The sequence below is a fragment of the Homo sapiens genome, chromosome 3 (assembly GCF_000001405.40).
Source record: "Homo sapiens chromosome 3, GRCh38.p14 Primary Assembly".
Taxonomy (NCBI): Eukaryota; Metazoa; Chordata; class Mammalia; order Primates; family Hominidae; genus Homo; species Homo sapiens.
This window is the reverse complement of record NC_000003.12, coordinates 162020563-162033365: the sequence shown is the minus strand read 5'-3', so window position 1 is coordinate 162033365 and position 12803 is coordinate 162020563. Positions and strand designations below refer to the sequence as shown.

The following is a 12803-nucleotide window of genomic DNA, read 5'->3' as shown; positions in this document are numbered from 1 at the left end:
TCCAAGGGCACCACCCACCTGCACTGGCTCCGGAGTTTAGGTCCTCAAGACCTTTCTTCTTGACCCTGGAGAAGGTGACATTCTCAAGTAAGGAAGCTCACTGCCTTGGTCAGATACAAATTTGAGTGAAGAGGTCTGTGTGGGTCAATTTGCAAATCCTGTCTTTCAGATTTATTTTGTTGTTTTTTGTTTTTTGCTTAACAAAAATGAACCTAGCACATCATTCTTTATATTTTTCTGCCAAGAATGTCTTAATTGTCTTTATTGTTGTCTTATAAATATTTCCCCAATCCATGACCCCCACTTCATCTACCCAGCATGAAGCAACTGCATTCCAAGGCATTATAATACAGAAGAAATGCAAGGATATGCTCACATCAAACGTATAATATGTCAGTACTAAGCAAGACAACAACTTTATAAGATATGCTTTGTTAAAAGGAAAACAAGATTTTCTAAATTTCTTTATCTCTTCCAACTAATATATCCAAGGAACTTATCTAGTGATACATATAGAATGTAATAAAAGTGGTCACTGACAAAGAAGAGGAAGAGAAGAACATCCGCCCTTACAGACCTAAAGAGAAAAAGAGAAAAAGAAATGAATCAAGAATATCAGAAGCCAAGGTTCTTAACAACAAAAGACCATCTTTTTTAGGGTACAGGAAAACTTGCTATAAAATAGAGACCTCAAAATAAAATATGCATGCGTTTTTCATTTATATAATAACTATTTAAATATGAGACACCCAGTGCTGCTGGGGCAGCCCTTCTGTTCTCAAAACATGACTTCCCATCTTTGGATCCAATATAACTACCCCAGATGTCATCAATTCTCAGCTAGTGGAATGGAGAGTAAAGTTAATGGAAGGTAGCAAATTCTTTTTAAAAAACATAAGACAAAAGTTTCACAAATCATTATTACTCACATCTCATTAGCCAGAATATATTTACCTAGCCACACATAGCAGCAAAGGAGGCTGAAAAGTGTTTTTAGTTTGTTGCTATATGTCAAACTAAATTCCATTATTTTTTAAAGGTGAGTATACACTTTGTGAGACAAATAGCAATCTCTCTCGCTCTCGCTCTCTCGCTCTCTCTGTGTGTGTTTCTCTCTCTCTCTATGTGTGTGTGTGTGTGTGTGTGTGTCACAATACAAATGAAATTTCCAACATCTGTGGATATTTTAATGGGGTGGGCAACTAGTCCTGTTTGCGAGGAACTTTTCCACTTTAAAAACTGAAAGTCACCCACCCTGGGAACCCTCTTAGTCCCTGGCAAACTGGGGCATTTGAACATCCTATTAATATTATTAATAATTTCTTTAAAAGAAATTTAATACTATAAACTACTCCAGGCTCATTCTTCCCTATAAATTTTATAACCTTTTAGTGTTTATTTGGAATGTATTTTAGGGTGCTTATAGTCCAACAATTATTTCAACATGGAAATAAAAATCGCTGATGCAATTTATTGAAAGATTGAAAAGGAGAAAGAAATACCAAGAATAGTCTCCAAGAGGACTTATTAAACAGACACCAGAGGATGTTACTAAGAAGTTCATTAAATTTAAATGTTTCCCAAGCAAATTTTTAGTTTACTTATCAATTATTTATCTCAGTTGAAACCATAAAAGATAATGACAAATGTTGATTTAAGGATAGAGATACTTATGCCATCACTTCAGTGAGTAGAGTCATGGAAACCCAAATCCCCATTGTCAATTAGTGTCTTAATTTTGAATTATCTACTGTGCAGTTATCTCCTATGAAAAGTTCAGTTGACATACTCAGCAGTCCAATGGAGGAAACCCAAAGGAATCATTATTCATTTATTCCTTTTGGAAGTCAGATCTCCAAAATGCTATGTAGCTGAGAAACCTTACTTGAGTTATCTAAATAAATGCCTTTACATAATTACAGTTTCACATTATGAAGCTATATTTGTCAAGAGGCCACAAAAGAAAAGCTTTCAAGGGTGGCCATGCTACTCAGCTGCCAATGGACTCTTCTGCCTATTTGACAAATGGCTCTCCAGGTGATAAGGTTTGGCTGTGTCCCCACCCAAATCTCATGTTGAAATGTAGTTCCCATAATCCCCATGTGTTGTGCGGGGGACTCAGTGAGAGGTAATTGCATTATGGGGGCGGTTACCTCTATGCTGTTCTCATGATAGTGAGTGACTTCTCCTAAGATCTGATGGTTTTATAAGGGGCTTTCCCACATCCTTCATTCTGCACTTCTTGCTGCTGCCATGAGAAGGAGGACGTGCCTGCTTCTCCTTCGGCCATAATTGTAAGTTTCCTGAGGCCTCCGATGCCATATGAACTGTGAGTAAATTAAACTTTTTCCCTTATAAATTACCCAGTCTTGGGCATGAGAATGAACTAAAACACCAGAGTTTCATCAGGTACCCTTGTCTTTTTTCACTCTATATTGTATTCTTGATTTTCTCATTACTGTTGTGTTTTTAACTTCCCCTCTTCTCTTAACACGTATTGCTGATTCCAAATTATTATCTCACATCTCAGACTTTTCCTAGGATCTAAGTTTATGTATCCACTTATCTAACTGCTTGATGAAAATATATTCCTGAACATATCTCAAAATTCAGTGTGTCGTCACTGCTGCTTCTCCTCTATGTCTCCTTTTGGTTGATGCAAGTTTGTTTTTCACTCATTTTTCCCACTTCCACACTGTTGATAACATTTTAATTCCCACTGACCCTGAATATCTCTGTCATTCTTTCTCTTCATTCACAACCAATGGCTGAGTTCAGACTCCTTCCATCTACTGATTTGATCAGCAGTTTTACTCAAGTATGCAGAATAGTTACCTGGAAAGCTTATTAAACATGCAGATTCCTGAGCCAGTTGCTACAAATCCTGAAGCAGTATGTTGAGGGGAGACAAGTAAGCTGCCTCTAAGAAGAGGGCTGAGCTGAGCTGAGCCTGACTCAGCAGACTCCCCTGAGACAAGACTCCTTTGTGTTCCATTTTCCCTCCATGGAAGGGCACCAGTTGAGGGTCAGGTACATCAGCACAGACGTGGACATCCAGAACAAAATCTGCAGTTTTATAGACCAAGGGACTAGGGGGTAGGAGGAAACGACTAGGGGTGTCAAAGTGCTGAGTATTAAGTCAGAGCAGCCTCTGCTGAAGAGGATGGCCTCTACTGAGGATGGCCTCTGCTGAAGACTCCCAATACAGAGGACTCCAAATGGCGGCACCTAGGCCATGAACCCAACTATGTTTAAGAGCATGGTTGTCCAGGAGGTCTGAACCTTTGACAGCAACTCCCTTCAGAGCCTACAAGGCATTGGCTGTGCACCATGTCTGGTGGGGAAGAACAGCATTTCCCTGTGTGACTTGTTAGGTAAAGACTTTTTTATTGCTTATAGTCAAGTCTAAAAACATCGCACATACATTTCTGGCAAGGAGTCAGACTTCTCTCTGACTTCGTAGCAACAGATGTTTGTGATGCAGGCCTCTGGGGATCCATACTTTGAGTAATTTTGGCCAATTTGAATATAAATTTTTGGATATATAATATTTGGAATAGATATCTGGCTTTCCTGATTTCAATTTCAGCGTTTATCCAAACCACCCTTCATACATTGCCAGAATGAAATTATTTTAAAAATTCAATTTCAAATAAGCCTCTGATTAACTTAAGACTTTTCAGAAATAATTGTCATTTTTGTAAAAACATCTAACCTACTTACCTAGCACTTGTTTCAGTTACCACCTGCAAAACATTCTCTTATTTTTCTGAATCTTCCTTCCTCCCCCTTTAACAGCTTACAATACTAAACTGTTGGTTTTTATAGCAAGATCTTGTATATACTTTTTCTTTATCTCACCCCCTAACCTGGTATAAAAATGGATATCAAGAAAAGTTTGTCAAATTAATTGAATCCAATTTTTTTATGAAACACCTTTAAAAACACTATTTGGTTATTTAAAAGTTGATACAATAACTTCCTCAGTTTGGACCTACCAAAATACTTACGGACCCTAAATAGCTTTGATTTGTATTTTATTTTATTAGCTAATGAGACTGACATAGCTAATGGTGCTTTTCTTTTCTTTTTAGCTGTCAAAATTCAGGAACTAAACTTTGTGTTGAATTGCACTAAAAACTTAAACATACACATACACACACTCACGCACACACGCAGAGACATATTTCTCTCCAATTATTTGATTCAGTCTTTTAAAAAGCAAATTATTTATTTATTTAAATTACGATTACCCAAAACTCCAAATAGTTTTGAAAATTAAGTATAGCTTTTCCTGGGAATAATGTAGTGAGAGTGTGGGATTTTGAATTATAATAGATACTATATATGCTTTACAACCACAGCAGACATAATGGTCCTTAACATATCTTAGTGGTATATGACTCTTGGTTTTAAACCCTGAGTGAGGCTATTTAGTCTTCCCAATTTAATAATTCAAAATATATTTGAATATAAAACGTAGGATATAAGAAATTACTCGAGTTCTAAATTTACTAGGATGCAGTATAATATATTAAATATTATTATAACTCTGTACTATAATCAGAACATTAAAATTAAAATTAAAAAAATATCACTTCCAGTTGATATTTTTGTTCTGTCACAGAAAACTGGGTGTGTGTGTGTGTGTGTGTGTGTGTGTGTATAAATAATATTTATTTTATTTAAAAAAATAATTTTTCTTGATTATTTTACCAGGTGCATTTCTCATTGTGACACTTATTAATATTTTCATACCAAGACTTTTTATACTACAGTCTTATAAGTAAACTGCTGCATATGTCCAGAACTTTATTTACAAAAGATTTTCCACAATCATGTTTTTATAGTTTAGCAAAAAGATAAGGTTTATTTTTGTCTTAGACCCCACACTCAAGCCATCAGAAAATTCTATAAGATCCCTTCTAAATAGATTCAGAATCTGACCTTGGCTCAACCACCTCCTTCTCCTGTTACGCTGGCCCAAGCCATCCATGCCTTCTTTCTGTATTATTGCAATGGCTTACTAACTGGTCCGTATTTGCCTGTCCTGATCCTCTTCTACTCCTAATTCCCAACACAGAAGCCAGAGTGAACCTTTTAAAGCAGGAGTTAGAACATGTTACTCTTCAACCAAAAATTCTCCAACAGCTTCTCATATTACTGAAAAAATAAAAGTAAAAATAGCAGTAGTTCTTACAGTGGCCTAGAAGGCCTAGCATAGCATGCCCTGGACCAATACTTCATCAATCTCTGCTCCTAAGACTCTGACCCTGGCTCACTGTGCTCAAGCACAACTGCCTCTCGGATGTTCTTTGGAACATGAACACTCCACATACCTCTTTTATCAGGGTCTTTACACTCACTGTTTTCTCTCTCTAGAATTCTCTTCCCACAACTATCTGTGTAGCTTATCCTCATTCCCTTGGGATCTTTCCTTAAATGTCACCCAAAAGAGGCATTACTAGACCACTTTATGTAAAATATTACAATCCTTTTTCCTGCAACCTTCACCTTTCCCTGCTTTATATCTATTTTCCCCATAGCATTTATTAAACATATACACATACAAATATATACACCATATACAGTGATAGTATGTACATATAGTTGTGTATGGTATTTTTAAATTTATGATTGTTTGTTGACAGTTTTTTTCTACTAAAATGTAAGTTCTATGAAGGCAAGAGGTTTTTAATGTTTTATTCATTTTCATATCCTAGTGCCTAGAATAGAATCTGGCATATAGTAAATGCTCAATGTGCATTGTATGTTGGCAGGGGGAGACCAGTAAGCTGGCTGTCAAGGGCTGAGCTGAGCCTGACTAAATATTTGTAGAAGAGTTGAGTAATTAAAACAATCAGAAAGTACATCATAGAGTTATCAGAGATCCTGTAGAGACTTTGAGAAATTAGATGTAATTTTGCTTTCATGTATTCTCTTTTCTCTCATTCATCAGGAAAGACTCTGGAGTAGATAATATAGAAAGATAGCAATGCCTTCATGTAATATAGAATAATCTCTAACATCTTTTAGCATAAATTCCGCAATCAATTTTTGGGATGTCATTGAGAGATCACTAGTTCCTTTTATTTCTCAACATCTGAAGTCATTGTAGAAGAGAATAAAGATTATTCTTACAGTAAATAGAAAAATCAGAATTAAGTTAACTTAATAGAGTTCAATTTTTGAAGGTATATTTTTAGCTGTACCTGAAAGTTTGAATTCACTTAAAGACTGTTATTTATGTTTCTACTTGAACGACTTGGTACCAGCCAGAAGTTATCAATGATCCATACCAGTGTTTTTCAAAGGAGTATCAATGAAGGAGAAATGGCCCTGAGCCTCAATCCAAATGCTTGAATTAAGTTCTTCAACCACAGTGGCCACTGTTATCTGTTGAACAAGGTTAAGAGATGACTTCAAAATAAAAAAACACTTACACACAAAATGTGTAAACGATATTGATTAGTATTTTTAGTTTAAGAAATAATTATGAATGGAGTAGAAAAGTATAATATTCCAAAGTTGTTTTCTATTTTATCTCTTACTCTAAGCCAAGAATAGTAAATACACTGAGCCTGTATACTAATTAAGGGCATAGCCATGTCTCTGGGAGCAGTTCACAAAATAGGAGGCTTAATATTTAGTATGGGGGTAATATTTCAATATATGAACTTGATCTGCATTTTCAAAACATTAAGTAACAGTAAATTTGATATTTTTCTTTACAATGTCCTAGAGCTGTTTTTTAGGCTGCATTGGTGATTGATAGTTAATATAAGGACATTAATTGATGAAAACATTATAATTTCCAATATAACACAGTTCATGTTTATGTTTCCAACAAATTATATTTCAAGCCACTTTTACAAAATAAATATGTGGCTACTATTATATGATAAATGTTTTTTCCACACAAAAATTATAAGTATATTTTTGTTCACATTCTACAATTAAGTCAATGTATATGATAATACTGCCACAAGACTAAAGAAATTCAAGTAAACAGGATCATGACAAGAACATGTAATAAATTACAATTTATTTGATCTTATTAGAAAAAAATGAGCTATAAAATAAAGATTTTAATTGCATCTAGAAAGTACTTTATAAAAGCATGCATTTTGTAAAGCATATATTTATGCATTTGTTAATAAAACTTCCAGTTTAAGACAATGATGAAAAATATTCAATTCAGAATTAGAGAACAAAATTTTTCTTTTAGCAAACAGAAACTAGCAATTTTCCAAGTAGAATACTAGTTTGAGTCTCAATATCATCATAAACTGAAAATTTGTTTCTTAAATGCTGAACGTCAATAAGAATATTCTGTTGAATTCTACGAATTGTCTGAGGACAAGTAGGAAATTATGGATACAAAGTTAGACACTTTTAATCAAACTGACCAACATAAGATAAATTGTTACTCAGATTCTCATGTTGAAATTTCTTGGTCTATTTCTCTCCTTAAATCTCTCTGCAGCACCAATCTGACTACAATATTCTTCAAAGGCTAAAACAACAGTGCAAAGTGTAGCATTACTTCTGCTTTTGCCTCTTTGGGCTAACAAAATGGCAAGGTAAAGATTCGATGGAAGAAGGCAGAATCAGGGATTGTTTTAATGGCCTTTTGAATTATTGGGTAGAAAGAGTCTGGTTAGAGGTAATTGTATTATTGTACTTTGAGGTTGGTTTATAAATTTAAATTTAGACTCATATAATATTAGAACTAGATGTAATCTTTGGGTAATAGATCTGTTTGGAAACCTGATAAAACTACTGACATTTTCATGGTCATATGGATAAGCGCATCCATGTACAAAATTTTAGGTTATTCAGAGACTCCAAGAAACACAATCACAGCCCATAGCATGCGCTCATTGACACCTCGTGTTATCAAATAGGACAACAGGTTCCATTTATTGATTGTAGTAACACATATTTTATGCCTACATTGAGTAAGATACTGTATTATTCAAGAAGATGAAGACAGAGACAAAAACAAAAGTGACAAAAATCTCACATTCAAAAATCTCAGTCTTTAAAGGGAGATATACAATTAAACATTATTTATGGTGTAATGATGGAGAATAAAAATAAAATGACCATCTAAAGGAATAGTTTACACACACACACACACACACACACACACACACAAACAAACTATGAGAACAGAGATGTAAGATCAGTTCAATCTACCTATAATAAGATTTTTCTGAATGGGTCAGGGGAGACTCCACAGACAAAGTGGCTTTTAAATTGAGTCTTGAAGGATGAAAAACAATTTAGCAAGATAAATGACAGAGGGGCATTATACTGAGAAGGAACAGCAAGTGGCGAGGTGTAAAAGGAGTGGCACATTATTCTAGTGATTCCATGTGAGCTGATAGCTTACTGCATATGGGGACTGATAGACTGGAGTATAAATGGGCTGGCAGAGACCAGGTCATGGAGGGGCTTGCTGGCTTAGGTGAGAGGTCTACATGTATCTCATAGCTAATAGCATGTCCTTGAAGCATTTGAATTGCTGAGTGAGATTTGCTCTATGGAAAAAATTGTCCTGGCAGAGGTGTGAAAAACAGCAGTAGGACTGGGAGGAAGCACAGTTTGTGGTCCAAAAGAAGGTAGAGAGACAGCAGATTAAAGCCAGTGAAAGCAGCTGTCAACCTGTAATCATGTAGATATTAAAGATCCTTACAGGACTGAGAAATATTTGCTGAAAAGAATTAGTAGTACTTGGTGGGGACCAACTAAATTAAGTAAATTGCTCAAGGCCATATACTTAATTAGTAACCAAGACATATCTAGAATTAAGTTTCTTGACTCTCTGCCTATTTCTCTCTCTAGTACTCTATATCAATTTTTATTGTTTGATTAATTCAAATAAACATTTCAAATTAGGGATTTTAAATGGCCTATTAATGTTGATGACCTTCCCTCAAAACTTTCTATTTTTCTTTTAAACAAGCAAATTTGGGCTAAGCACATTGCAATTGGTTTCCTTTTAACAAAAGTTTCAAGGTAGTTAAAGTAAATCACTATTTTTCCCCTTACAAATAAATACAGTTCACTAATGTCAAGGTTAAATTTTGCCTTTGATTACCAGCTGAGATGCGGCTAAACAAAGGTAAAGGGGTTGATTTGTTGACAAGTGTATGTGTGTGTGTGTGTATTAGAATTTTGTCAATTAATTTTGTAAGAAAATAAATTTATCTGTGAATATAATGTCCTCAGTTTATGCCTTGTATGTAAAAAACAGGTTATTGTTCCCATATTTCATCATAGACAGAACTTGTATGGTGAATTATTTTGCCTATAGACATCACTGAATGTTGTTTGTATGTGACCTGTCCTTTTTGCTCTGTTATCAGAAGGACTTTGGTTGGGGAAAGGGAATTTTATTGCTTTCATTTGAAAGATCAAAGGAATAGAAGACTATAATGCCTGGTGTTATTACTTTCTTCTGTCTTTTTCTTAAGAACACACAATTAGATTTTATTCTGTTTATTAAGTCAGAATAATTGATTTCACTTTATATGATAAATTGGCATGTCTATTTTTGGTAAGTGTAAACAAGTGAATCACTAAACTTAAATTATTCTGTCGAATGGGGATGGGAATATTTCCAACTTAAGTAGAAACTTGGTATTTTAAAAATGTATGTTATAAAGGAATTAGAAGCCAACATAAAATCAGAACAACATTAATAAATAAGGAAAGCTGGCTTCTTTGATCATTATTGCAAGTTTCACTGTGTGAATATATAATTTTTTCTTATTTACCAAAATAATTATTGTAGATTATTAAGCAGAAAAGTTTTGAAGAGCTCCTACTCTGTTCTGGGTGCTGTGCTAGAAACTGGAGATAAATAGTTAATCAACCTTGTGCCAGTCCTCAAACAGCTCACAGTTGTTGGGAAAGTATAATCAAAGAAACAGACAATTGCAATCGTGACAATTTGATAAGCGACAAAATAAGGGTATTGTGCAGAATCACTTTTTGATGGTTCAAATGATGGAATGGAAATAAAATTGAAATAGCCAAGAGACTAGGCAACAATGGATGATGATTTCTATTCTCTGTTAGAGTCATGAGTAGGATTTAATTGTACTGACATGTTGTTTTTTTGACTCAGGTCTTTTAAAATTCAGTATTTGACTCTCAGAAATCCGCATCTTATGTAAAGAGAACAAACCAGTCTTCACAAAGCAACATAGGCACCAGTGATTAAGGATGGTAAACTGTACAGTTTTAGTTGTGCTGTGTGAATAATTGTTACTTGTTCACTGGAACACAGCTGTAACCTTTTCTTGTAAGCAGGCTGAATGCATCGCCTCATTAGTTATTGCAGTAGCCTCAGTTGTTATCTTCCTGATAGTCATGAATTGAGAGCTACTGAGTAGCTAGCCTTCTCAAAATGCTCTTTGTATGTTTATCAAATTCCCTGAAATGGCAGTGGAGATGTTTTCCTTTTTTATTAAATATCTGTGTACACAGAAAGCCTAATTAAAATATAAATATTGACTGTGTGAGGGATGACATGTTTACTTATTGCTCATTTTATGGTATATGTTATTACTTATTCATCAACTTGAGAATGAAAGGACAGGAAACTTATGAGGACATGTTGGGGAAAACCAGGCTCAGGTGTGTTAGGTCTATCAGGGAACACTTGGTCTGGACACTGAGGCAAAACCTCTGCCAGGATTATCCAGAAAGGATTTTGTTTGATGCTCCTGTGTATTAGATGAAGCTGTGATTTTTTTTTCCTTAAGGAATTGTTTTAATTTCAATCTTGTCCTTTTCCATTAATTAGTCAATTGATCTAAGATATATATGTCAATTGGGTTGCTTTGGCCTCATTTTCTTAATCAATTAATGAGGGAATATTCTTAAAGAACTTTCAAGGCTCTTTCCAACTCTGAGTTTTGAATAATATAAAGATTATCATTAAGAACTAGGACAGCAAAGAGCTGTTGAAAATGGAGACATGAAATTGAGAATAGCTGCAAAGATAAGCTTTGATAACAAGTTTGGCCTAGGGCCAGCCCCTCGTTCAAGGTGATTATTTCATTATTTTTAATAACCCTATAAAATTGATTCTTTCCTCCTTATTGTATTTTTTTAAAATAGATGATATTTTTAAAATACCAGATTAAGATAAATATTGACTTAAGTAAAATTAGTATGGCCAACTTGTTTTTATTATAATTATAGAAGCATCTGCTCTCCTATTTATATTCAATTGAATTTTATACTCTACTAGTAACCATAGATATGTTGTTATTTTAAATGTCTCTTAAAGCTAATGTTTTTACATCACTTAAAGCTCAGACCAGAGGAGAAAAACTGAATCATGCTTATTTTTTTTTTAAAAGAAGAACATTATAGAAGTTTTAAGATTATCATCAACTCCCAGAACTGGTTTGTCTTCATTTTGTAAAACTTCCTTTTACATTCAATTTAATGCATTTAGGAGTAAATTATTCAGGAAGTCGAAAAAGATTCATTACTTAACTACAGGGAAGTCTAAAAGAGTAGTTAGCAGCAGCTGTGTAGATTTGCTGCTCATTTACTCCATATATAGGGCATAATGGATTTCCAGCAATTTCAGTAATACAACATTATCTGTGTTGATTGTAGATATCATCGCAAGATATGCTTTTCAAGAGTGTTGTAAATTGAAACAACTATAAGATGGGTAAGAAGACAGTCTCAATCTAGGAGTAAAGTTTTCTTTAGAAGACCTCAAAATTTAAGTAACAATAAGAGGAGTCTGGGAACCTTCTCCTCAAGAAGGAGGACTGTAGAGGATTTAAAGGACCCAACGACAGGTTTTCTACATGAAATACACAACTTTCACCACGACAAATGGTAAATGTGGAAGCAACCAGATGTTATGCATACTGAATTGACAGCCTGTGTTGATTTTGACTCAGAATTAGCTATGCTTTGTGCAAGGTGGTGAATGTGGGGGAAATGTTTACATGAAAGAGTGGGAAGACTTTTATGTTGCCAAAGGATGAGTAACAATTATGAGATGAAAATCTAGCTTAATATTACAATTTCATCCAGCTCTCAAGAGAGTATGTATCCACGTTTAAAATAACTAAGCACAAGGTGAGTTTTACGGTCTACAATGAATTGAGGTTTAAGATTTAAAATATGGCTGTAATTTACTACAATGTAAATCATATTTGGACCAACAATTACTATAAACAATTTAGAACAAATCATCAAGAGCAGTTTTCTTTCTTGAATGTTTTAGAACTGGAGTTCTATGCAGTTCTAATGTTTTTGTGCCAAGAACAACTGACAACTATTAAGTATTTGCTGAGTACTAAGTTTCACAACTCCGTGAGATAGGTAATATTATTATGCCATCTTTATAGATAAGGACACCAAGAGATTAAAGAAATTGACCAAGTATGCAGTTTTAAGTGGCAGAGTTAAGATTTGAACCCAAGCAGATTTATTCCAGACTATAACATATATCCTCCACCAATAAGGCATTTGGTTTCATTTATTTGACAGGTGCTTAATAACACCTCTAAGTTGAAGGCGTTGTGGCTGGTGATGCAGAGAAACAGATAAATACCACATAGCTCTTGTTTTCAGGCAACTCACAACAACACTGACAACAGCTAAAGAGTGATACCTTACAACTGTGTCTTACTGTAGCAAATGCTGTTGTTGGTCTGGCCCGTATTACCTTAGCCCAGTCCTGAGTTCATCTTCAGCTGCTATCAACCATGGAAATTTGCATTTGTGATACTGCCTGAGACACAGAAGCCCTAATA

General features: G+C 34.5%; 2 annotated features.

Annotated features, from left to right (window-relative positions):
- Positions 11980–12149: an enhancer, noted in NCBI's record as "experimental_65864 CRE fragment used in MPRA reporter constructs". NCBI's record gives its function as "activates a minimal promoter by MPRAs in K562 erythroleukemia cells, with activity observed for the introgressed 3:161739090 or rs9822058 variant allele {active_cell/tissue: K562}" and the evidence as "EXISTENCE:reporter gene assay evidence [ECO:0000049][PMID:34662402]".
- Position 12064: a transcriptional cis regulatory region, noted in NCBI's record as "Neanderthal adaptively introgressed variant 3:161739090 (GRCh37/hg19 assembly coordinates) or rs9822058 in the experimental_65864 CRE". NCBI's record gives its function as "modulates activity of the experimental_65864 enhancer by MPRAs in K562 erythroleukemia cells {active_cell/tissue: K562}" and the evidence as "EXISTENCE:reporter gene assay evidence [ECO:0000049][PMID:34662402]".